The sequence below is a fragment of the Homo sapiens genome, chromosome 2 (assembly GCF_000001405.40).
Source record: "Homo sapiens chromosome 2, GRCh38.p14 Primary Assembly".
Taxonomy (NCBI): Eukaryota; Metazoa; Chordata; class Mammalia; order Primates; family Hominidae; genus Homo; species Homo sapiens.
This window is the reverse complement of record NC_000002.12, coordinates 63,760,886-63,787,789: the sequence shown is the minus strand read 5'-3', so window position 1 is coordinate 63,787,789 and position 26,904 is coordinate 63,760,886. Positions and strand designations below refer to the sequence as shown.

The 26,904-nt window shown below is 36.7% G+C and overlaps 1 protein-coding gene across 5 annotated transcripts in view, besides 2 other annotated features; it reads left to right on the top strand.

Annotated features, from left to right (window-relative positions):
• The window catches only part of WDPCP (WD repeat containing planar cell polarity effector), a 721,268-nt gene that overhangs the window by 53,037 nt on the left and 641,327 nt on the right, over nt 1-26,904 (top strand). The window lies entirely within an intron of this gene.
• Nucleotides 6,822-7,323: an enhancer, noted in NCBI's record as "NANOG hESC enhancer chr2:64007601-64008102 (GRCh37/hg19 assembly coordinates)". NCBI's record gives its function as "activates a minimal SCP1, AML or CMV promoter by ChIP-STARR-seq in naive H9 embryonic stem cells {active_cell/tissue: H9 hESC(naive)}" and the evidence as "EXISTENCE:reporter gene assay evidence [ECO:0000049][PMID:30033119]".
• Nucleotides 21,615-22,430: an enhancer, noted in NCBI's record as "H3K27ac-H3K4me1 hESC enhancer chr2:63992494-63993309 (GRCh37/hg19 assembly coordinates)". NCBI's record gives its function as "activates a minimal SCP1, AML or CMV promoter by ChIP-STARR-seq in naive H9 embryonic stem cells {active_cell/tissue: H9 hESC(naive)}" and the evidence as "EXISTENCE:reporter gene assay evidence [ECO:0000049][PMID:30033119]".

Sequence of the window (26,904 nt, the reverse complement as noted above, 5' to 3'; positions counted from 1 at the left end):
GGGATTAGAGACATGAGCTACTGTGCCTGGTCTGGACTCAATTTTATCAATCAAATTAATGTAGTATTTTGGTTCCATAGTTTAGTAATTATTTATATTTACTATAATTTTAATTGACAGAAAGTGGATTATGGTCAGTGCCCAAACTTACCTATAATTTTAGACAATGCTGCTCCATGATATATGTTTTAAATATATCTTTTTAATGTAATGTGTTCTGGAACAGCCAACGAAAATCAGTCACATTTGATTCTTCATAGTTTCAATGCCCTTAATTAATGAGGCCCTTAAATTTTTTTAAGTCAAAATTACTTTGGTCTAAGATAAGACAAACCCTCCCCAAGACTGCATATTTCATCTTTTTGTCCAGTAGTTTTACCAGCAGGTATAAGTAGAGAAACTTCTCCGTCTATTTTTCCACTCTACTTGCTTAAGCGCACTTTGCTTATGGTGTAGGAATCTGGTTGACCCTGGCAAAATTACAAAGAAGAAACATTTGTCTTGGATGCCTGTCTCTTCTATCCTGAAGGCACACTTCCCCACAGGGGCCCATCTCCAGCACTCTGTCCTTCTAGATTCTTCCCTCCAATTCCTAATACCTTATTCTTTAAAATCACAAATACCATAATTTCTTTCTCCATTTAAAATTTAGCTATTCTGTGTTTATTTTCTTAGGATCCAAGGGTATCCTAGTTTATATAATTTTTTTAAATGTCAAGGCAGATTTACTCATAGGAGAGGGTTAGAATTGTCATGATCAACGAATGTAAGAACCTTCTAGAAATAGTACCCTTTCCTCATTCATATTGTCTCAGTCATTCGTTCATTTGACATATATTTATTGACTGACTATTGTGTGCCAGATATATTTGAGGCACTTGGAATACATCAAATAACAAAACATAAAATTCCCTGTGTTTGTTTTTCATATAACAATAATTTTGTGATTTTTTTTCTGTGTGCTCACATTTGTTCAATTTTATATCTCTTGAGAGTATGAATCATTCTTTTTCATTTTGTAAGTTGTTACATCAATGCATGCAATTTGGATTTTTTGCAGTCTGTTTCTGCGGATCATGCTTTACGTATGTCTGTATTACTTGATGAAACACAATTTAGTGTCTCAGATGTGGCCGTGTAAGTGGCCAAGTCACATACTTGCTTCTCACCATATTGAAAACAAAGTGAGAGGCTGACACTTAAAGGTCACCATTTTCATGGAGGTAAGGATATAGATCAGAATTTAGTGAGAGGCTGTGCTCAACACACATATGGCACTGGCAGTATTGTGAACAAATTCTAGACCTTAAAATTTTTCCAGGACTCCTGTAGCTTTGGACTAAAATGGTTACTTAGATGCTCTCTTCCAAACTGCATAGAGCCATTCTCCTAAAGACATTCCATAATGGGACTTTTTAAAAAAAATTCAAATGTTTCACTTTCTGCTTAGTTGAATATCACATAAAAAAACAAAATGAGGCCGAGTGTGGTGGCTTACACCTGTAATCCCAGCACTTTGGGAGGCTGAGCCAGGAGGATTGCTTGAGCCCAGGAGTTTGAGACCAGCCTGGGCAATATAGTGAGACCTCGTCTCTACAAAAGAATTTAAAAATTAGCCAGATGTGTTGAGGCTAAGGTAAAAGGATTGCTTGAGTCTGGGAGGCAGAGGTTGCAGTGAGCTGTGATTGCGCCACTGCACTCCAGCCTAGGCAACAGAGAGAGACCCTGTCTCAGAAAAAAAGAAGAAAAAACCAAAGAGAATCATAAATATTTTGAATGAGGAATTTATCTGTGGAAAACACATAACTCTTTTTTAAAAGTTTAGCTGAGCCATGTCAGTGTGGTTAATCTTGTTTGCAATACATGAAGCTATGCTACCAAATGTGTACTCTCTTTTTCATAGTAAAAATGTATCAGTTGTTATTGTGATCATACCGTCTTAATAAAGTCTTTTAAAAAATATCTTTGTCTTGCTGCACAATCATATAAAAACTAGATGTTAAATCAGGTTTCTCCAGATGACCTAATTTAAAACTTGTAAGCCTCCAATTTGGAGACAGAAAGTGAATCTAAGAAAATTGTAGTGGTTGTTTTGCTTCAGTTAAGTTGAAGACTGCATGCATTTATAAGATGCCTGATTTTCAGCTAACCAACAACAATAAAATATAGAATATAATAAAGAGAAGAACAGAGAGGGTTTATCATATTTCCTAAACCTTTCCTAAAATATGGCCCTCTAGGGAAAAAATTATCTGCTGGAGTGTTACATGAAAACTTTATAAATATTAAAGCAGAAAAGTAAATGTATATAATATAATATTTACACGTTCTTAATTTATAAATGCCAATGTAGTATCCTTTCAAAGTAGTGACTAAAAAAAAATGACACTACCCTTCTTCAATAATGAATGAGTTCAGCTCTCCACACCAGAGAAAGGGAAAAGCAGTGAATGTGAATTCATGCTAAGTAGCCAGCCTAGGTGTGTACAAAAGAAGCAGAGGGGGAGAAGGGAGGAAGGAGGAGTAACTCCTCTGGTGTGAAAAGAACCTGGGAACAAAAAAGACATTTTCTCTCCTCTCTGCCTATGGAACATATTTTCACTAGCTTTGACTAGGAAGAATATGTTTAAATATTCTTCTTGTGGTTGAGGGAAAAAACCAACTCAGTGTAATTAAAGAGCAAAACCAATGGAGAAAGACTTTTAAGAAATATTTTTTAATGTTTGAAGGAGATAGTTTCATTTGTTTAACAGTAATTGTCATTTATTGAACTCTCATAGCGTAAGCGTAGCCAAGCTCTGTATATATTGTTTCATTTAATCTTTACAACTTTATGAGGTAGCATGATTATTTTCATGGTCCATATTAAGAAACTGAAGTTTTCAGAGATGAAACCAACTTAAAGCATTAGGATTTATACCCAGGTTTGCCAATTTTAAAGCCTGTGTCCCAAACATAACATTGGTTCCTCATATAGTTTCAATACTTAGATTTGAATTCAAGTACTACAATACAGTTGTATACATGGGTTGTGATTTTAAATTTATAAGAATATAATCATCTTAAAACATCTCAGATTGCTAAATTTGTATTGAGTAATTGGGCCTAAATTTTGACTTGTTTCTTCACTGTCTTTCTTTATTACAGCAAGATCTTTGTCAGAATTTCCCTCTAGAAGTTTCATATTCACACACACACACACACACACACACACACACTCCAGCTAGAGATATTTTTTCAAAAGTTCAGAATTTTAAAATCATCTTTGAAGAGTTGTCTTTCACATGTTGGTGACTCTTATTTGTAATCTCTATTATTAACATTATAGAAAGAATAAGAGCTTTTTTGGACCCACATTCTCTTATGCCCAAATTCTGCTATTAAGTGCAGGCATGTTTCATTATTTTCAAAAGGAATTTCATATGCCAGCTGACCTAAGGCAACATTATTTTAGTCTTGGGCCAAAATTTGTCTTTGGGACCCCTTCTCTCTTCCTTTGAATGCCCTTCTAACTGCTTCAGAGGTCCTTTCCTGGGACCTTCTTGATGATACTGGCTGCTCAGAGTACCCCACCCTTCCTTGACTTTTTCCTGCTTGCCCTCATTGATACACTTTTGTTCATTCACACGACAAATATTTATTGACCATATGTCTCAAGTACAGTGCCAGATGCTAGATATACAATGATGAGAGAAGAGACATGCTCATTGCCCTCATGGAGTTAATGATGTAAAAAGGAATTAGGTGCTAATCCAATGAATAAAGGTTACACAAACAAAAGCAACACTGCAAATGTGAAACGGTGCTGGAGATTTGGTACTGGGATTTGGCTAAGTCAGGGAAATCAGGCTAAACTTTTTTCTTTTGATTTGTATAAATTTAAGGGGTACAAGTGCAATTTTGTTTCATAGATATATTGCATAGTAGTGAAGTCTGGAATTTTAGTGTCTCCATCACTTAAATAATGGTCATTGTACCCATTAAGTAATTTCCCATCATCCAGCACCCAAACCTGCCCACCCTTCCAAGCCACCAATGTCTGTCATTCCACACTTTATGCCAAGGTGTACACATTATTTAGCTCAGACTTCTAAGTGAGAACATGTGGTATTTGTCTCTTTCTGAGTCATTTCACTTAAGATAATGGCCTCCAGTTCTATCTATATAGCTGCAAAAGACATTATTTCATTCTTTTTTATGGCTGAATAGTATTCCATTGTGTATATATACTTATACTTTTTTTATCCAGTCATCTGCTGATGAACACTTAGTTTGATTCCATTTCTTTGCTGTTGCGAATAGAGCTGCAATAAACATATGACTACAGCTATGTTTTAAAAGATTATTTATTTATTAAAATTTTTTTTTTAGAGACAGAGTCTTCCTCTGTTTCCCAGACTGTGGTGCAGTGGTGCGAACATGTCTCACTGCAGCCTTGAACTCCTGGGTTCACTAATCTTCCCACCTTAGCCTCCCAAGTAGCTAGGACTACAGTGTGTACCATGACACCTGGCTAATTTCCTTTTTAATTTTTTTTTTTTGTAGAGACAGAGTCTTGCCATATTGTCCAGGCTGGTCCTGAACTCCTGGCCTCACGTGATTTTCCTGCCTAGCCTCCCAAAGCACTGAGTTTACATGCATGAGCCACTGTGCCTGGCCAGGTATCTTTTTGATGTAATTATTTCTTTTTCTTTGAGTAGATACCCAGGAGTGGGATTTCTGGATCACATGGCAGTTCTATCTTTAGCTCTTTGAGAAACCCCCATACTGTTTTCCATAGAGGTTGTACTAATTTACATTCCCACTAGGAGTGTATAAGCATTTCCTTTGCTCCTTCTTTTAATAAGGAAGTGACACTTAGCTGCAGTTTGAAGGATGAATTAACACTGGAAAGGAGAAGGAAGGGCTTTTTTGGACTAACTGCCCATTTCTCTCTCCATTTTCCATTCCTGAGGGAATGTGATGGCTCCAGGTTGTCCTTTTATATATTACACACACACACAAACACACAAACACACACACACACACACACACACACACACACACACATGTTGCCTGTGGACTGACTGCTTCAGATTAGGTGGCCAACTTTGGCCCACCTTTGCCAACATTCATTATTTTTTGTCTTTTTAATAATATAATAGAATTTTAAAATTCTGACTGGTATAAGACAATATCTCATTGTGGTTTTAATTTGCATTTCTCTAATGATTAGTGATGTTGAGCATTTTTTCATATGCTGCTTGGCCATTTGGATGTCTTCTCTTGAAAAATGTCTATTCTTGGCCTTTGCCCACTTTGCCCAGTTTTTAGTTGAGTTGTTTTGCTGTTGTTGTTGAGTTCCTTCTAGATTCTGATATTAGTACCTTGTTGGATACATAGTTAGCAAATCTTTTCTCCCATTCTGTAGGTTGTATGCTCACTCTGTTGATTATTTCTTTTGCTGTGTAGAAGCTTTTTAGTTTAATTAAATCCCATTTGTCTATTTTTGGTTTTGTTGCTTGTGCTTTTGAAGTCTTAGTCATGAATTCTTTGCCTATTCAAATGTCCAGAAGAGTTTTCCCTGGGTTTTATTCTAGTATTTTTATAGTTTCAAGTCTTACGTTTAAGTCTTTAATCCATCTTGAGTTGATTTTTTAATATGGTGCGAGATACAGGTCCAGTTTCATTCTTTTGTATATGCAAGCCAGACTTCTTAATAAGAAAGTGATACTTAGCTGCAGTTTGAAGGATGAAACAGTTTGAAGGATGAACACTGAAAAGAGGGGAAGGAAAGGCTTTCTGGGCTACCCAATTCTCTCTGCATTTCCCAGTCCTGAGGGAATGTCATTGCTCTAAGTTCTCCTTTTATATACACACACACATAGGTTGCCTGTGGACTGACTGCTTCAGATTAGGTGCCCACCTTTGGCCCAGAGAGCTGTGGCTGGGTGAGGGAGAGTTCCTGGGTCCTGGGCTCCTTAACAAGATCTAAGCAAGTGACAACTTCACTTACTGGAACTATGGCTGTAATAATTCATTTCGGGGACACGCTGCTGCCTCCAAGAAGCTTCCCTAGTTCCCCCAAGCAAAGTGATTGCTCCCTTCTCTTTTCTTCTCTTGTATCTTATACCTGCTTCTGTTGGTTGCACATATCCCACAGATTGTTTCGTTTCTGTTGTTAACATGACTCTCTGCCTCCCAAGTAGGCTGTACTTCTTGAGGACAGAAAATATGTCTTATTTATGTCTGTTTTCCTAGAATCTAGCATAGTGACTGTACAGTGCCTAGGGTAAGCACTCAATAAATGATGCTGAATGAATGAATGAAATGACAAACTGCTACTGGAGTACTTCTCAAAAATGAATGAAATAAAGAACAGGAGAGTAGGCACTCTATCCCTTCCTTCTCTTTCTCTTCCCAAGTCACCCCACAAATATGTGTCCCATTCAACATTTCTGGTACACATATTTGGCACATGTGACATATGCTATATGGACAGGCAAGTGTGATGGCAAATATATACCAGTCATGGAATGCCCGTGCTCAGCAAATACCTACATGGCATTTTAGAGCCAACCCAAGTCCTGGCATTTGGACTGGGATTGAGTATGGAAATACTATAGGAAATAAACAGCAAGATCTTATGGTGCCCACCAGTGGTGCAGATTTGAAGTAATAATACAGAGTGGGGGGAAATAGCACTAATTAAGCTGAATGGCTCAAAGAGCAATACCCTTTCTCAAACCAATTCTGTAACAGACCTGGTTCTTCAATTTTCTATTGTTGGCTCAATTCTAACTGTGCTGAGATTCCATCCATTTCTGAAGTGGTTTTATTTGGTGAGGGAGGAATGCAAAATGACTACTTGGCCCGGTTTTCAGGTCCCACATGTTGTTTGGTTTTTGTTTTGTTTTATTTTGGATTTTGTTTTAAAGAGTCTAAAAGGGCTTCATTACACTGGAATCTAACTACCTATTTATTTTCTTTACTGCTTCCATTCTGCCTGAAGTTAGTTACCATAATAAATGTTGTTCTCCAAGCTGTGCATATATTATCCATCACTGCTAGGAAACAAAGAAAGATGTGTTTTCCTGAGAAGACTGCTGTTGTTAAACAAAGCAGCAGGTGTCTTGAATCAGACCGTGTGGGCTGATTAAAACACTGTGATTCTCCTCCTGACTTTGCCTTTCATTTCTTACACTTCAGCTCCTACTTCTGATTAGACCAAGTATGTCCTTGGGAGTTACGTGCTTAGAAGGAAAAACATGTAACAGGAAAAATACCTACTTCTCTATAATTGAGGATAATAATGTTCAGCTTGGTTCATTAACAGGGTATCCTTCTGGTAAGGAGTAGAATAATCCTTCTATCTCTTTCTTCCAGATTGTATTCTGGCAGTCACAGCCCTCAAAGACCTGCACGAGAACCCTTTCCACTAGCTTCTTTTGGTGGCTGGGAGTTTCTCTCAGGGTACAGTGATACATGCAATATGCATTCATCAAACTAAAATGTGTTGAACCAAGCCTCCTCTGGTCCAGGTACTGTACCCAGGACTCGAAGGATCATCGACTGCCAATCACTTTTTGGCACCATACATTTGTGACTTCTGCAAGATGGAAATAAACAGCTGTGCATAGCTGAAAATGTGAGTGCAGGGCACAGAGCTAGAAATAAAAATAAAAGACAACATCCCTAGATTGCTGGGAGTTTACAAAACAGCCGTGAGGGGGTTATAGGTAGGCAGGGGAAAGACTAGGAAAAACCTGAGAACAGGAATTATGTGTTTATTCACCCTTGCATACCAAGAACCCTAACTATTTGATAAATTATTAAGAAATATGTCAAAGATGAGGATGGCATCTTGACTCTAAGAACTAGTTTTTGGAATCTTTTTGGAAAAAGAAATGAAAGTATAATTTAGATCTTATGTATCACAAAACTAGATTAAGCTTTAAAATCCTTTGCTCACACAGTGAATTAGAAATTGAGGCTGAGTGAGGTTTAAGGGTTTTTTTAAACAGTATTTTCAGCCCATCTGAGAAAGTGATTTGAAAAACTTTGGTGAAACTGCCTCCTCTCTTTGCACTCAAGAATGGAAAGCATCTGCTATTTATTCCTCACAAGGCGCTTAATCAACATCAAGCCCTCTTCTCTGCCCCAAGGATATACGCACCTAGAGATCGATGGTGATTTATCCTCAGAAGGGAGGTGTGGGCACCCCTCCCCACCAAAGAGGGTTGAACAGCCTTGCTCAACCATAGAAGCACTGTGTTGCTTCTCAGCCTCAAGTGGAATCAGAATAAACCAGGACAAGCAATGCCTTATTTCTCTGAAATTTTATTTTGGCTCTTCTCAACTTAATATAATTACCCCAAGTACTCTAACATCCTACCTTTTACTGTGGGAATGAAAGTGAGATTCCAACATCTGTTGTTCCCTGAGTCTCTGCTGAAAGTATGTCTTATGTTTGGAGGCCATAGCAATACATCCTACCATAAAGTAGTCATTTATACGATAGGTTACGTGTTTTGGAAAACAGTTCCAGCATTTTCACAGTTCCTGCTAGGTCTTTCAAATTCTTGAGAGGATGCTTGTTTATCCCAGTGATTTATCTAAAAGTATTTTGTTGCTTAGTTTTGAACCTTCTTGTGAATTTACTGTTATTTTCCTATTGAGCCTGTCCCCTCAAAATATAGTTGCAATTCAATTAGATTTTATAAACCTTCATTGAGAGTTTACTGTGTGTCCAACATTGGGATTCAAAGAAGGAAAAGATACATTCCCCTTCTTTAGTGAGGTGTTTCTCAATTGGGAGAGAGAGGGATGTATGCCAAAATCTAGGCAGCAGAAGGGAGGGAGAAACACATATAACTTGAAAAAAGCATATTCAATGATAAAATATTATCTTTTATTTGGAAAACAAAAATATGTTATTTTATAACACAAATGACAGAAAGTAAAGCTTGAACAAAAATTTCGGACTGGCAATATTATATAGAGGATGCGGAGATTCTCAGAACCAACAGTGAGACTAAAGGTTAAGACATTTATGTTTATCAAAAGAGAGCATAGAGTTTTTAAAAGCTGAACAGTGCTGCTCTGGCCAGTGGTAGAGTTTGAGATATAAAAAGAACATAGAATCAGTGTGTTGTAAGTTTGAAAATAGTGTTTATGCAAACCATAACAGGAACAACATAAGACACAGGAACTTTCAGAAGGAAGTTAGGAGGCCATCTCAGAGGTCGAGACATTTTAGTTGGCTCTTGTAGGATGGGAAGAAGTTCAACAAGTGGACAAGGGAGGCTGGGCACAGTGGCTCACGCCTGTAATCCTAGCACTTTGGGAGACTAAGGTGGGTGGATCATGAGGTCAGGGGTTTAAGACCAGCTTGGCCAAGATGGTGAAACCCTGTCTCCACTAAAAATACAAAAAATTAGCCAGGTGCAGTGGCAGGCGCCTGTAATCCCAGCTACTTGGGAGGCTGAGGAAGGAGAATCGCTTGAAGTTGGAGGGTGGAGGTTGCAGTGGGCTGAAATCGCGCCACTGCACTCCAGCCTGGGAGACAGAGTGAGACTCTGTCTCAAAAAAACAAAAAACAAAAAACAAGTGGACAAGGGAGAGACAACCTCTAGCCAGAGAAAACACCATGTCTAAAGACTCAGAGACATGAAGGAAAAGGCATAATCAGAGCATGTAAGCAGCTCTGTGTGCCCATAGCACAGAATGGGTCAGGTGGAGTTGAAGGAAATAGGGTAGAAATATTGTAAAAGGCATTGCATACTAGGAGTTCAGTTTTTATCCCAAAGTCCAATGGCTCTCAATCTTACCTCCTTACCAGAATCATCTATACAGTTTTTAAAGACAGCTTTATTGAGGTATAATTGCATACAATAAACTGTGCATATTTCAAGTGTATAATTTGATGTTAGACATGCATATATACCCATAAAATTATCACCCCAGTCAAGATAATAAACATCTCCATCACCCCTTAAAGTTTCCTTATGCTCCTTTGTGATTCTTCCCTTTCACTCTTTTTACTCCCCTCATCTTCAGGCAACCACTGATCTGCCTTTTGTCACTATAGAACAGTTTGTATTCATTAGAATTTTATATAAATGGACTCATACACCATATATTCTTTTTTTGTCTGGCTTCTTTCAGCATAATTATTTTGAGATTCATTCATATTGTTGCATGTATCAACAGTTTATTCCTTTTATTAATAAGTGAGATTTCATTTTATGGATATACTACAATTTGTTTATTCATTCACCTGCAGATAGACATTTGGGTTGTTTCCAGTTTTGGGCTATTACAAATAGAGCTGCTGTGAACATTCAACTACAGGTCTTTGGATGTATGCTTTCAATATGGTAGCGGTATGTTTAACTTTTTAAGAAACTGCCAAACTGTCTTCCAAAATGGCTGTGACATTTTACGCTCCTATCAGCTGCAGAGAGTTCCAGCTGTTCCACATCCTCACCAATTGTTGGCATCTTCAGTTTTTGAATTTTAGACTTTCTAGTAGGTATGGTTTTAATTTGCATTATGGTTTTTTAAAAGTTTTAATTGACAATTATTTTTTAAAAGTTTTAATGGACACATAATAATTATACATATTTATGGAGTACAATATGATATTTCAATACATGTATATATTGTATAATGGTCAAATCATGGTACTTAGGATATTCATCACATCAAACATTTGTCATTTCTTTGTGGTGGGAACATTCAAAATCCTCACTTCTAGCTATTTTGAGATATACAATACCATATTGTTAACTGTAGTTATCCTACTGTGCAATAGGACACCAGAACTTACTCAGTCTTTCTAACGGTAACTTTGTACTCATTGACCAACCTCTTCCCATTCTCTTCTATGCACTACTTCTATGAGATCAACTTTTTTTATGTATGAGTGAGATCATGTAGTATTTGTCTTTCTGGGTCTGGCTTATTTCACTTAACATAATGTTCTTCAGATTCGTCCATGTTGTCACAAATGACAGGATTTCATTTTTTATGGCTAAATAGTACTCCATGGCACTGTGGTTTTAATTTGTATTCCCTAACAACTAATGATGTTGAACATCTTTCATGTGCTTGTTTTCTATCTTTATATCTTTTTTTTTTTTTTTTTTTTTTTGAGACAGGGCCTCACTCTGTTGCTCAGGCTGGAATGTAATGGCACAATCATGGCTCACTGCAGCCTTGACCTCCCAGGCTCAGGTGATCCTCTTATCTCAGCCTTCCTGGTAGCTGGGACTATAGGCATGCGCCACCACACCCAGGTAATTTTTTGTATTTTTTGTAGATATGGGGTTTTACCACGTTGCCCAGGCTGGTCCCAAACTCCTGGGCTCAAACAACCTGCCTACCTTAGCCTCCCAAAGTGCTGGGATTACAGACATGAGCCACTGCACCCAGCCTATCTTTATAACTTCTTTGGTGAAATGGCAATTCATATCTTTCCGTGTTTTATACTGGGTTGTGTGTGTTCTTATTATTGAGTTTCAATAGTTCTTCATGTATTCTGGATACAATTCCTTTATCTGAGGTGTGATTTGCAAATATTTTCTTCCTGTCGGTGGCTTATCTTTTCATTTTCTTAAGTTTCTTTCAAAAGTTCTTTTTTTTTTTTGAGATTCAGTTTATCAGTTGTTTCATTTGTGGAGCAACTTGTGTATGTATGTATGTATGTATGTATGTATGTATGTATGTATGTATATGTGTATTTATAGGCAGAGTCTCACTCTGTTGCCCACGCTGGAGTGCAGTGGTGCAATCATAGCTCACTGCAGCCTCAAACTCTTGGGCTCAAGCAGTTCTCCCATCCTAGCCTCCCAAAGTGCTGGGATTTTAGGTGTGAGCTGCTGCACCTGGCCTGTTTTTATTTTTTAATACTAATGCCTGGGCATCTTCCCTTAAGATCCTCATTCAGTAAGTCTTGAAATAAGCCTGGGCATCTGGGTATGTATAAAACTTCAAAGATGATTTTGATGTCAGCTACTGTTGGGAATACTGCATAAAACAACAGAAGATAGTAGGATTTTGTATTTATTTATTTGAATGTTTGTGTATTTATTTAGTTATCTCCTTTTATTTCACCTTGTTCCAGAAAGACTCTAAGATAGTTTATAAGGATCCAGGATAGCATAATTTGAAAGTAAATAGAAGAAATAAAAGCGAAGTGGGACTGAAGCTACTAATGAAGCTAAAGATGCATACTTTAATGATGTATACATGGACTCTGAGCAGGACACAAATTTGCCTTCAACCTTTCCAACAATTCAATGTGTATAAGACACAAACAAGCCAACTGCTTAGGAGACATACTAGTACTAAAACTATATATGAATTTCCTCCAAAGAACCTCATAAAGAGGGAGGAGCAGTGTTGTAGACAGCAACAGTAAGTTTCAAAGGGCAGTTTGTTATAACAATGTTCAGTATGGGCTGACCGCATTACAATTAGGTGCAATTCAATAAAAGCCATTCTTTCAGAGAGCCAATACAATGAAGAATAGGTATCCAGCTCACTGCTGATCTAAATTGATGCAAGAGTGTACTTAAGACTATCTGGACTATAAGAAAGGGTAAATAATCTTCATTTCAGACAATAATCCACATTTTCTCTTAAACAAGTTTTTGAAAATATCGGTTGGGGTCTGTGACGTTGAGCCCAAGATTATGCTCCCTGCTTTTCTATGCTGCTTGTTGAATATATACTTTATATATTAAGGGAGACAGTTGGATTTGGGATTAGCATCTCTTTGCAAAGGCTATTGCCTAACAGAGTCATTCCACCTATGCCAGGATATCAAGGAAATCTTATAGTTAGGGACAAGAACCATTAGAGGTCTTAAAGCATGAGATTGATGTGACTTATATTTTAGACAGATGAGTTTGTTAGCAGTGTGAAGAACATATTGAAAGGCGCAGAGAAGTTAGGGAGATGGGAGACTATTGAAACAGTCTACGAAAATGAAAATGAGGGGCCTGCTCTGAGACCATTGTAGTGGAAACTGAGAGGTGGGGATTCAAGAATGACTTGAAGAAGCTGAAGAAGAACTTGAAAATGACTCTAAGATTATTCTAGGCTGGCCAACTAGGAGGACTGTTGGCCAAGTCACTGCAATTTAGAACAATGGAGGAAGAACTGGGTATGCCATAAATGATCATGAGTTTAGCTTTTGACATTTGAAGGTTATGTCTTTAAGTTATTCAAGTGAAAATAGCAGTAGAACATTAAAAATAAATCTCTGGAGCTCAGAAAAGAGAGGTGGCTGGATATAAAGATTTGAGGAAAAATATACACACATAGGTGGTGGGTCAAAATCTTGGGAAGAGTTGAGATTTCCTGGGGAGATTTTGTAGAGAAGGAACAGAAGAGAACTGAAGTGAGAAAATTGATACTAGGGAGTTTAGATATAAGATATTTTCTAAAATATTTTTCAGTAAAGATGAAAGCAAAAAAAATTCTATCTGCAGCTATGCCTTCATTTTACATTCGCTCCATAATGCTGACCTGATTCCACTGATTTTCAGTCTGATTTTGAATATTTTCTGTCATAAACTTTTGTTATTAGATTTTATGGCCCTGGAAAGATATTTCCATAATTGCTTGGCACTGTGTAATTTCTGACCTACAATTTCCTAGGCTTTACTGATCTCACTTAAAATTATACCTGTTTTACTTTGCATATAGCCATGGCATATTTTTCTTAGAGTAGGAGGTCTTTTAATCTGAGGTTCAATTTTTCCCAGACTTTTCAAATATTTTATATAATCCCTAGAATATACAGTGACTTACTATATTTTTAAGTCTCCATACCATTATTTCCTCACAATGCTAGTATTTTTTTAAAAAATCTTATTTTTTTGCTGCTCCTTGTGGACAGGGCTAACCCATAGCCAGTGTGCTCAGAGTCAGCCAATACTCAACGTTTTTATCAGTTTCCAACACTAAAACAACATGATGAGATTTAAAAATTTTTCTCTCTTTCAGAATAATGTTGAACTGAATTACATTCATTAAATTATATAGCTCTTTTGGCAAAATTTGATTTATCTCAAAAATATTTTGGCATTGAACCTGGTATTTCTCAAAGACTTCTTATTCAACAGCCATTCATTTGCATGTACAAGTAAAAAAGATTTCTTCTTTAGTATCTTGTACAAGTATCTTTATGAATTATTTTATTGAAGTATAATATATACAGAAAAGTACAAAATTCTTAAGTACTCAGCTTAATAAATTTTTATACAATGGTTATATCCATGTTATGTCTACTTAGATGAAGAAATAAGGCACTACTGGCACCTCAGAAATCCCCCCTTGTGCCCTTCCCAGTCACCCTTCCCTGCTTTCTAAATGGTAATTGGTCTTCTGACTTCTGATCTCATAAATTAGTTTTGTCTGTTTCTGAGTGTCATATAAATGTTATTATACAACATTTACTCCTTATGTCTGGCCTTTTTCATTCAACATATTGCTTATGAGATTCTCCATATTCTTGCATCTATCATTAGTTTGTTCCTTTTTGTTGCTATATAGTATACCATTACATGAGTATATCTCAATTTATTTTTCCATTATACTGTTGTGGGCATTTGGATTATTCCCAGTTTTCTGGCTATTATAAATAATGCTGCTGTAAATGTCTTTTGGCATACATATGTACATATTTTATTGGATATATATATAGGAGTGAAATTATATAAAGAAATGCAATGCTAATGGTTTCTCTAAAGATTCTTTTGGATTTTGTACATATATGATCATATCATCTGTGAGTAATAACAGTTTTATCATTTTTCTTTCATTCTAATACTTTTGTTTTTCTTGACTTATTGTAGTGGCTAGGCCATTCAGAAAAATAGTGAATCACAGTGGTGACAATAGGCATCCTTGACTTGATCCCAGTATCAGGAGGAAAACTTTCAAAGTAATAAGACATTTACTGTAGGTATTTTGTAACTACTCTTTATCAGCTTAATGAAGTTTACTTTTATACCTCATTTGTTATGAGGTTGCTGTTGTTTTATTTTATGTCATGAGTAATTGTTGAACTTTTTTATTGTTGATGCCTTTTCTGCATCTACTGAATTGATATAGTTGATATCTTTTATTCTATTAATGTCATGAATTACATTGATTGATAATCAAACATTAAAGCAATATTGCAGTCATAGAATAAACCCAATTTGGTTTTAGTGTATTATTCTATTATGCATCCTTGGATTAAGTTTGCTAATCTTTTGTTTAGGAGTTTTGCATCTGTCATAGAAGAGATTGACCTGTGTTTCTTTCTTGTATTGGCCTTGTGAGGTTTTGGTACCAGGTTATGTGGTCTCATTAAACAAGTTGTCTATTAGACATTTATATACAGAATCTATAAGGAATAATTCAGCAAGCAAAACCAAATAACCCCATTAAAGAGTGAGCAAAGGACATAAACACTTCTCAAAAGAAGACATACAAGCGACCAACAAACATGAAAAAATGCTCAACATCACTAATCGTCAGAGAAGTGCAAATCAAAACCACAATGAGATGCCATCTCACATCAGTCAGAATGGCTATTATTAGAAAGTCAAAAAGGCAGATGCTTCAGAGAAAAGGGAATGCTTATACACTGTTGGTGAGAATGTAAATTAGTTCAGCCACTGTGGAAAGTAGTTTAGAGATTTCTTAAAGAACTAATAGAACTGCAATTCGACCCAGCAATCTCATTACTGGGTATATACCCAAAGAAAAATAAGTCATTCTACAAAAAAGACACATGCACTCATATGTTCATCGCAGCACTATTCACAATAGCAAAGATATGGAATCAAGTCAGGTGCCCATCAGTGGTGGACTAGATAAAGAAAATGTGGTACATATACACAATGGAATACTATGCAGCCATTAAAAAAATATCAAAAGTAAGTCCTTTGTAGCAACATGGATACAGCTGGAGGCCATTATCCTAAGAATTAATACAGGAAAAGAAAAGTAAATACATGTTCTCACTTATAAGTGGGAGCTAAACATTGGGTACACACAGACACAAAGATAAGCACAATAGACATCAGGGCCTCCAAAAGAGGGCAGGGAGAGTGAGGGGGCAAGGAAAAACTACCTATCAGGAATTATGCTTGCTACCTGGGTGACAGGATCAATTGTACCCCAAACCTCAGCATCATGCAATATAACAATTAACCCAGACCTGCACATGTACTCCCTGAATCTAAAATAAAAGTTGAAATTAAAAAAAAAACAAGTTGGCAAGTTTCCACTTTTAGTTTATTCCCTTGAAGAGTTTGTGTAAGATTGGTGTTATTTATTCTTTAATTGTTCGGTAGAATTCACTGACAAAGTCATCTGGGCCTACAGGTTTTGTGTATACCAGAGAAAGGTTTTAAATTATAGATTAAATGTTTAAATAGATATAAATTATTTGTATTTTCTATTTTTTTTGTGTCGCTTGAGTTTTATATTGTTAGGAATTTATCAATTTATTAAAATTTCAAATCAATTAACATAAAGATGTTTATAATATTTTATTATTTTTTAATGTCCATTGACTTTATAGTGATATCTCCTTTTCATTCTCGATATTAGAGATTCATGCCTTTATTTCTTTTTTTCTTGATCACCATCACCACTGATAAATCAATTTTATTAGCTCAGCGATTCTCAGGACTCTCTACACTTTTAAAAATTATTGAGGACCCTAAAGATATTTTGATAAATATTTATGTTACAGGTTAAAAATGTGAAAAATTTAAAATATTTATTTTTAAATTTACTTATAACTATTATACTTTAGCATAACATTTTATGTTATTTTTAACATAATAAAGATAATAGAGATAAAATGTTTATCTCAAATGAAAACAGTAATTTTTTTTAAAACAAGAAATTGGGAAGAGTGACATCGTTTTACATTTTAAATCTCTTTTAATGTCAGGCTTAATCGAAGACAGTTGGAGTCTTTCACCTATTTTTGCTGTCAATCTGTTGCAATATTCCCTGTCATGCATCCACTGGAAAACTCTGTTGTATACTTGTGAGGGAATAAGGATGAAAACGAACATATTATTATTGTTATAAAAATAATTTTGACCCTGTAGACTCCTTGAAAGGACCTCAGAGATGTCCAAAAGTCCTCAGACCACACTTTGAGAACCACTGTATTAGTCTTCATAAAGAAGCAACTTTTGGTTTTGATTCACACCACTATAATTTTGTTTTTTTGTTTGTTTGTTTCATTATAGCTTGTTAAGTTCTGTGATTTATTATTTATTTCCTTCTATTAAATTTAACAAAATGAAATTGCTGTTTTTGTAGGTAAAAAATAGTTGAATACAGATAATTTAATATGCTTCACTTTAACACTTCCTTTAGGTTTAATTTGGTACTCTTTTCATGACTTTTTCAAATGATTTTCACCTTCTTTTTGAATATATTCATTTAAGGATACAAATATTTTTCTGAGTACAACTTAAATTGCACTCCAGTTTGAATATGTTGTATTTTCCTAATCTGAAACAAAATATTATTTTCAGATGAGATTGGACACGTTCAGGGTGGTATGGTGGTAGACTAAAATATTATTTTCAGCTCAAAAAGTTTCCAATATTTGTTGAAGTTTCCTTAGAACCGTAGGTTATCTAGAAGTGTATGTGTAATTTCCAATGACTTAGCAATTTTTAAATTATCCTTTATTACTGATTTCTAGCTTAATTCCACTGTAGTTTGAGAACATGCTTTGTTTCATTTCAATCATTTGAAATTTGTTCAGACTCATACATGGCATTTGTCTTGGGGGGACTCTACCTGCTTAAGGCTCTCAAAAGGAATGAGCCGTGTTGAATAACACAAGGAATGACTGAAGGAAATAGTGACTCTGAACTTAGAGAAAAACTAACAGAAACTTAAAGAAAAACTAATAGAATTCTGTATCCCTCACACAGAATTAGTTACCCACCAGCAATGTATTCATTTTTTTCCCCATCAACCTTGAAATGTGAATTATGATATACCTACAGTTGTGACCCAACAGTATAATGTAGCCATTTCATGAAAGTTTCATGAAAAATTTTAAAGAACTATTTCATGGAATCAGAAACTCAGAGTAGTTACCAAACTCAGAGTAGTTCTTGCTTGTTGAATTATTCCGTATAGATTCTGTATATAGAGGTCTAATAGACAATTTGTTTAATGAGACCACATAACCTGGTACCAAAACCTCACGAGGCCAATACAAGAAAGAAACACAGGCCAATCTCTTCTATGGTCCAGAATATGGTCCATTTTGGTCAAGGTTCCATATGCCCTTGAAAAAACTAATTATATTTCTAAATCTGTCAAATATTTTAGCTGCTACTTTAACTCCATACAAACTATACTCCATATAAACTTTACATTATCCTGGTCATGTGATCAATGCAATAGATTCACCCCACATATTTTTATGTTATTGGAATTTCCTACCCACAGAAGTTTCATGGTTCTGAGCTTCTTTTTCTCAGTGAGACAGTTGCATTATTACTATTTCTGTTCTCTGTCCTACATAATGCATTATGTCCTACATAATACATACCCACTGGCAATGTATTCATTTTTTTCCCCAACAACCTTGAGCTATGAATAATAAGAAAGCCTACAGTTGTGGCCCAACAGTACAAAGTAGCCATTTCATGAGAATTTCATGAAGAATTTTCAAAAAGTATTTTATGGAATCAGAAACTCAGAGTAGTTATCAAACTCAGAGTAGTTCTTCCAAGAACTCTTCTGATACTGAAAAGCCTCTGCAACTTTCTTGTCAGTACATTGTAGGGAGCTGGTGAATGTTTAGTGAATGAATCCCACTAATCTCTAGGACCAAAGAGATCTCCCCTCCTAGAAAGCCCATTGTTTCTGAGGACATCATTGACTGTTGAAAGTACCTCCTTGGGCTAAGATAATGTCTGATTCCCTGAAGTTTCTGTCTGTTGGGTTTGCAAGAGTCTAATTCCTCTCCTGTATGATAGCCTTTCAAGTCCATGTCTCCTTGAAAGTTTTTCTCTAAGCTCAGTGTCACTATTTCCTTCAATTATGCCTTGTGTTATTCAATATAGTTCATTTCCTTTGGGAGCATTAAGCAGTCAGAGCTGCCTGCAAGACAGATGCCAGAGATCAGTGTTCACAACTCTGGCTGTACATTAAAAGCACCTGGGGAATTTCTTAGAAAATACAATGGCTTGTCTTGTCCCCAGAGATTCTGATTGAATTGGCTTGGAGTAACCAATACCCAAATGATTGAAGACTTGATATTTTTAAGACATCAATTATCCCCAATTTCATCTATAAATTCAATGCAACCCCTATCAAAATTTCAGCAGATTTTTTAAAAGTTGACAGATTGACTCTAAAACTCATAAAAATGCAGAGGACCTGGAATAGCCAAAACAATTTGGAAAAAAAAAAAAAAGGAACAAAAATGGCACACTTATACTGTCTGACTTAAAGATAGTGGCATAAAAATAGTCAAATAGTTCAATGGTATAAAATAGAGACTTCAGAAATAGGCCTACACATGTATGGTCCATTGATTTTTAACAAAAGTACAAAGTCAATTCAGGAAAAAAGCATAGTCATTTTCAACAAAAGGTACTAGAACAATGGGACATTTATTTGCAAATAAATGAACTTTGGTCCATACCTTCTACCATAAATAAAATCAACTAAAAATTGATCATAGACCTGAATATAAAACCTAAAATATGAAACTTATTTTTTGTTGTTTTTAAATTTGTTCTTTTTGGTTGTTGTTGTTATTTTCCTAGGCATCAACCTCAACTTAACTAAAACTATAAAACTTCTGTAAGGAAAAATTAAGAGAAAATCTTGGTAACCTTGGGCTAAACAAAGCTTCCTTAGATACCATATGAAAGAGATGATCCATTTAAAAATTTTGATAAATTAAACTCTATCAAAATTGAGACATTTTGCTGATAGAAAGACACCAAAGAGAGTGAAAAGCCACACAGACAGGACAAAATATTTGCATATCACATATCAAATAAAGGACTTCTATCTAGAATACATAAAGAATTCTTGAAACTCAACAATAAGAACACACATACACAAATAAACCTACAGATAAGATATTTGAACAGACTTTTTGTCAAAGAAGATATTCAGATGGCAAATAAGCACATAAAAAGATGTTCATCATCATTGATCATTACAGAATGCAAATTAAAACCACAATGATATACCTATACCCACTAGAATGTCTAAAATTAAAAAGACTAATCATACTAAGTTTTGGAGAGGTTATGGAACAACAGGAACTCTCATACAATTCTGATGAAAATGTAAAATGTTATCGTTGTTTTGGAAAATGGCTTAGCAGCTTTTTAAAAAGTTAAGCCATACATCCACCAAATGACCCATTCAACTCCTAGGTATTTGCCTCAGATAAATGAAAACTTACACCCACACAAAGACTTATACATGAATATTCACAGCAGCTTTATTTGTAATAGCTCAAAACTAGAAACAACCCAAATGTCCATGTACAATGAATGAATAAGCAAATTAAGTATATATACAATGCACTATTACTCAGTAATAAAAAGGAATAAATTATTGATACAAACAACAACATGGAGGAATCTCAAAGTAATTCTGTTGTATGAAAGAAGCCAGACTTGACAGAAAGTGTACATTATAACTCCATTTGTATGAAATTCTAAGGAACAAAAACTAATCTATAGTGATATAAAACAAATCAGTGGTTGTCTGGGGATGGGGTGAGGGTGGGGCAAGAAGGTGGCATTAAAAAAGGACAAGATGAACTTAGAATAGTCAAAATCATAGACAGAAAGTAGAATAGTGGTTTCCATGGGCTCGGGATAGAAGGGAATGGGAGTTATTGTTTAATGGCTATGGAGTTTCAGTTTTACAAAATGAAAAGAGTTATGGAGTTATATGGTGGTGATGGTGCATAATTTTATGAATGTATTTAATAACACTGAACTGTATACTTAAAATTGTTAAGATGGTAAATTTTATGTCTGTGTATTTTGATAAGAAGAGTCTTTTGAGAGTGATGCATATATTCACTGTCTTGATTGTGGTGATGTTTTCACAGGTGTATTAATGTGTTAAAATTTTTCATAGTGAGACTTTAAACATATGCATTTTATTATATGCCAGCTATACTTCAGTAAAGCTTTTTTTTTTTAAGTAACATACAGAAATCCATAGATTAAGTATATCCATAGAGTAAGATAACTATACATAATCCTATTGTCAAAAAATTAATATTGGCTAGGCATGGTAGTACACGCCTATAGTCCCAGCTAAATGGAAGGCTGAGGTGGAAGAATCGTTTGAACCCAGGAATTCAAGGCTTCAGTAAGTTATGATCATGCCACTGCACTCCAGCCTGGGAGACAACACAAGATCCTGTCTAAAAAAAAAAAAAATTTAATATTTGGGCATATTTACTTCCAGCCTAATTTCTTTATAAATATATTTTAAAAACATACCTTAAATAAAACTTATATGTATGTAATGTATATGTTCAGGGAGGGATGAGACTCACTGATTTAGCTGCTGGCTTTTCACATCTCTGCAAGCAAAGAATGCTAATCTTTTGGGTTAGCTGAGAACTGCTTTAGCAGAACTGCCTGCTCTGTGCTCTACCTCCACTCATCCATTACAGTGATATTTCTTGATTTCCTAAAATGCACCTAGGTGCATGTGCTAGGTGCTAGTGCTCTAAACAAGATGGACAACTTTTGAGGCTCCCTGGAGCTATGGATGGTTGGAGGTGCTATCCCTACTCATAGAAGTTCTGCCCAAATATCTGATAGGAAGCCTGGCCCTGATGTGACTGAGAGATGTATGGCTCTTCACGCAGCTCATTCCTGGTAAAATGTTTCTGCTAGGTAAAGCACAAGCATGGCTGCATCCTTCCTACAATAGAAGAGTCAGTGTCATGAGGGGTTTCCCATGCAGATGAACAAACACATGTGCCCCCGAATTGAGCCAAAATTTTTAACCAGGCAGTAGGCCAACCCTGTCAGTACCACATGCCTTAGCTGTGGTTCCTGGTCTGAGACTTGATCCAGAGTCCAGGATAATTTTGGAGTTTCTGGAAGGGATTGAATCCATGTCTTTGGGACAATGTTGCATAGAAGCCAGAGGCATGTGACCTGGCCACACAAAAGGCCTAGTACATCTAGCTAGAGGGGTAACCAGACACCTGCCTAATCCATTTACCAAGCCCCTCAAGGCCCCAGTTCAATTCATACCCCACAACCTTACAACAGTGAAGGTCTCTCTGCCCTGCCTGTGGCTGGTTTGCTTGCTGGCAGAACAGTCCACAAGTGCAGGGAAGTAGCCAGCTCCTTCATAAACTGTTCTGCTGCTTTTCTCACTGGCCCCTATGCTTAAGCCCGCTGGCCTCAAACTCCAGCTCCTCCCACCTCAAAACATTTACACACACTGTGCCTACTGCCCCCACCCTCTTGCCTTCCCTACCCTTTATTGTTCAGATCTCAGCTGAAATGTCTCCTCAGGAAAGTCTTCCCTGTCTTTCCAGACTGGGTTAGAGTTCTGCCATTAAACACTGCCGTTGCCTAGTGAACTATTCCTCTGTAGTCTTTATTGTAGTCAATATTTATGTAGTCCTATTTTAAATATCTACCTTTAGACTGTAAAATTCTTGGAGACAGGGAGTATATCTGTCCTGTTTACCATTGTATCTTCCATGTTTAACAAATGCCCAGCACATAGTGCTTTCCACACATCTTTGTTGAGTGGAAAAGCTACCTTAGCCTAGTTTAGGACTCCCTCTTAGATAAGCAGCTCTTTCCATTTTCAATTTTTTATTTACCATGTTCCTACTCTACCCCATCCAAACATGACCTCAAAGAGAATCTGGGCTAGGAAAGTAATCTGAATGACAATATAACCCTGGAATCAGAAAGGTCACACCCCTTTGGTGACTTAGCCTTTGTTTCCAGCCCAAACTCCTCCTTCATGGTCTTGCCTTAAAATAGATTTTCTCCTCAGGAAGCCTCTCGGTCCATCCCCTAAATAAACGAAAGCCCCTTTACCAGCACAAATTCCTCATCAAGAAAGTCAAGGTTGTAAAGAGGCATTTCCTAAAGGCTGTCAGTGTGTAGTGTTTGTGGCTTTTTTCACATTTCAATCCATTTATATTTAATGTGCTTTTTTAATCACTTACCATATCTACTCTTTGCGTGGTGTTTGACAATTCAAAAATCATTTAAGTCTGAAAACCTTAAATACACTTAAAAACTCAGTTGACATTTTGGTCTTCCAGGATCATCCCAGGTAGCTTTCTCAGAGGCCTATGCAGAGATACACCTGCTGCCCATCTGGAGGTCAGACCATGCCCATATGTTCAGCATCAGAGGTCACCACGGCATCACTCAAAGGATCACAGGCTAGCCCTTGACTGGCCTTGCAAACCCTATTATTAAAGTTACAATTTTTATACTTTTTGGAGGAAAATACTTTTCCTGTTATTTTTCTATTACAGAGCTGATAGGATTGGTGCTTATTATGTGGAGCCAGAGATTAAATAATTCTCAGGGTGACTGCTTAATGGGTATGAGGTTTTCTTTTGGGGTGATGAAAGTGTTTTGAAACTAGAGAGAAGTGATAGTTGTATAATATTGTGAATGTACTCAAAGTCACTGAATTGCACACTTCAAAATAACTTTATCTTATGTGAATTTTACCTCAATAAAAAGTAATAACAATAACTATCAGGGAACAAGAATTGATAATTATCAATAATTATCAACTGTAGAATTCCTCTCACAAGAAAAGTCCAGGAAAAGTCCAGGAATTTTAGTCAGTCATCACTGAGGTCATAGAATTCCCTAGAGATCTGGCCATCTGTGACCCTCCCCCCAACACCACCACCCTGTACCGTTTGAAGCCAGCTGGATTTAATGTACCACTTAAAGATTCTATTTTTAAAAACAACTTCTAACAGCAATTTTTTGGCACAAATAAATAGCCATAATGGAAGAAAATGAAAATAACTCCTGACTATCTCTGAATATATCCTTTTTAGGTATATTTTTCTACATAATTTCACTAATCAAAACACTTTTTTGTGCTACATTTCCGAATATATGAGAGGAATTTTGGTTTCATGAAGTTTTAGTAATGCTAAATTAACAACATGTGTATTTTGGATGCATTTCATGAGTTATGTTATTCTTACTGCAAATGAATTCACTTATTCCATCAACAATTTTTTTTTTTTTTTTTTTTGAGACAAAGTCTTGTTCTGTTGCCCAGGGTGGAATGCAGTGGCGCAATCTCGGCTCACTGCAACCTCTGCCTTTCAGGTTCAGGTGATTCTCTGCCTCAGCCTCCTGAGTAGCTGGAATTACAGGTGTGCCACCATGCCCAGCTAATTTTTTGTATTTTTAGTAGAGATGGGGTTTCACTATATCGGCCAGGCTGGTCTCAAACTCCTAGCCTCAAGTGATCCACCCTCCTCAGCCTCCCAAAGTGCTGGGATCACAGGCATGAGCCACCGTGCCCGGACCATCAACAAATACCTTTTTGTACTTTCTGTGTGTCAGTCAGGGTATTAGGTGCTAGGAATACTGAGAACAATAAGGCATACCCCCCAACTCAAATAAGTATGGTCTTGATAATCACATTAAATATATAGATGATCATGTTTCAAATATAGAGAGAGCTGCATCAGAAGATGAAAGTGAGCTTCAAGATATCAAGACTCTGTTTGTCATGGTCACTGTTGTATCCCAACATATATAACAGGTCTGGTATACTGGAGAAACTCAGCAAATTTTTTTTATAAATGGATGAAGCTTTCCACAATTATATACCACCTTCATTGTTTTACTTAGTTCTTATTGCTGTGGTTTGAATAGCCCCTCCAAAATTCATGTTGAAACTTAATCCGCAATGTGGCAGTATTGAGAGGTGGGGTGGAGCCCTTAAGAAGTGATTGGATCATGAAGGTTCTGCCCTCATGAGTGGTTTAATTTATTCATGGATTAATGTGTTATCATGAAAGGAGAACCAGTGGCTTTATAAGACGAGAAAAAGATCTGAGCTAGCATGTTAGTACACTCAGCTTCCTCACCAGGTGATAACCTCCTTCGGGACCCTTCAGAGAGTTCCCACTAGCAACAAGACTCTCACTGGATATGGCCTTTCAACCTGGGATTTCTCAGCCTCTAGAATTGTAAGAAATTAATATATTCTTATAAATTACCCAGTTTCAGGTATTCTGTTATAGGCAACAGAAAATGGGACTAAAGACCATACATTGTCCTGCATTGACTCAAACCAAAAATGCCCAGTTTATTGGCATAATCTGAAAGGGGTAATGAGTGCATTTTTTCTTACCCTCCTCAGTGTACAAATGTTATTTCGTGTTAGATTTTCAGATTTTCTGATTTTAATTCATTTAGCTTGCTCACATAATGATCAAAGGGCCACAGAAAAACCCTTATAGAAAAAGGCATCCATCCTCCTCTGCAGCCTCGTTGGTCCCCTCAGTCACCAACTCTTCTCTTTTCCCCAGTGATTCAGACTCCCACATTTACCTCTTCTCCTGCCCGACCACTTGGACTTAGTGGTTTGGTTTGAGGCTATTTGCACTGATTTGGGCCATAATGCCCCCACTCAAGGCAACTTTTAGTATCTCAATCCTGTCCTGAACCTTGGCCAGAAAGAGATGGCAATCTTGCAATGGTCTTGAAGAACCACGCTAAGACTTTTACTAATATCTCTATTTATCTGATGCACGTGTTTTTTTTAAATGTAAGTATTATTGTCCAGGAATTAGTAACTAGACCCCCAGCCCAAAAGAAGATGTGTTAATACCATGTTATAAGGCAGCCACCAGTAATGGGGACAACATATATGTGATGGTTAATACTGAATGTCAACTTGACTGGATTGAAGGATACAAAGTATTGATCCTGGGTGTGTCTGTGAGGGTGTTGCCAAAGGAGATTAACATTTGAGTCAGTGGGCCGGGAAAGGCAGACCCACCCTTTAGCTGGGTGGGCACAATCTAATCAGCTGCCAGCATAGCTAGAATATAAGCAGGCAGAAAAATGTGAAAAGAGAGACTGCCCTAACCTCCCAGCCTGCATCTTTCTCCCATGCTGGATGTTTCCTGCCCTGGAACATGAGACTCCAAGTTCTTCAGTTTTGGCACTTGGACTGGCTCTCCTTGCTCCTTAGCCTGCAGATGGCCTATTGTGATTGCGTGAGTTAATGCTTAATAAACTCTCATATATATTATATATAATAGTATTAGGATGATGCTAGAAAAAGGAAGAATATCAGGCTTGTGGTTTGCCTTAGTCCATTTTTTGTTGCTATAACAGGATGCCAAAGGCTAGATAATTTATAAAGAAAAGAAATTTATTTCTCATAGTTCTGAAGGCTAAGAAGTCCAACATCAAAATACTGGCATCCGGCAAGGACCTTCTTGCTGTGTCATCCCATGGCAGGAGGCAGAAGGGCAAGAGAGTGTGAGAGAGCAAGAGAGGAAGGGAACCAAATTCATCCTTTTATCAGAAACCCACTCTGAGATAATAGCATTAATCCATTTATGAAGGCAGAGCCCTCATTACCTAATCACCTCTTAAAGGTCCCACCTCTCAACGTTGTTGCATTTGGGATTAAGTTTGCAACACTTGAACTTTGGAGAGGGGGACACGTTCAAGCCATAACATGGTTCATCCTCCCTTGAGGGAGAAGAGGGAGCCTTCACCTCCCACCCCAAGCCAAGTGGGCAGGGGAGGAGCAGGAGAGCCTAGTAGTAAACCCAGTAATAATAGAGTATTGGATGTACCACTGAGTGGATGGGTGATGGCTGTGGATGAGGTGGGGTGG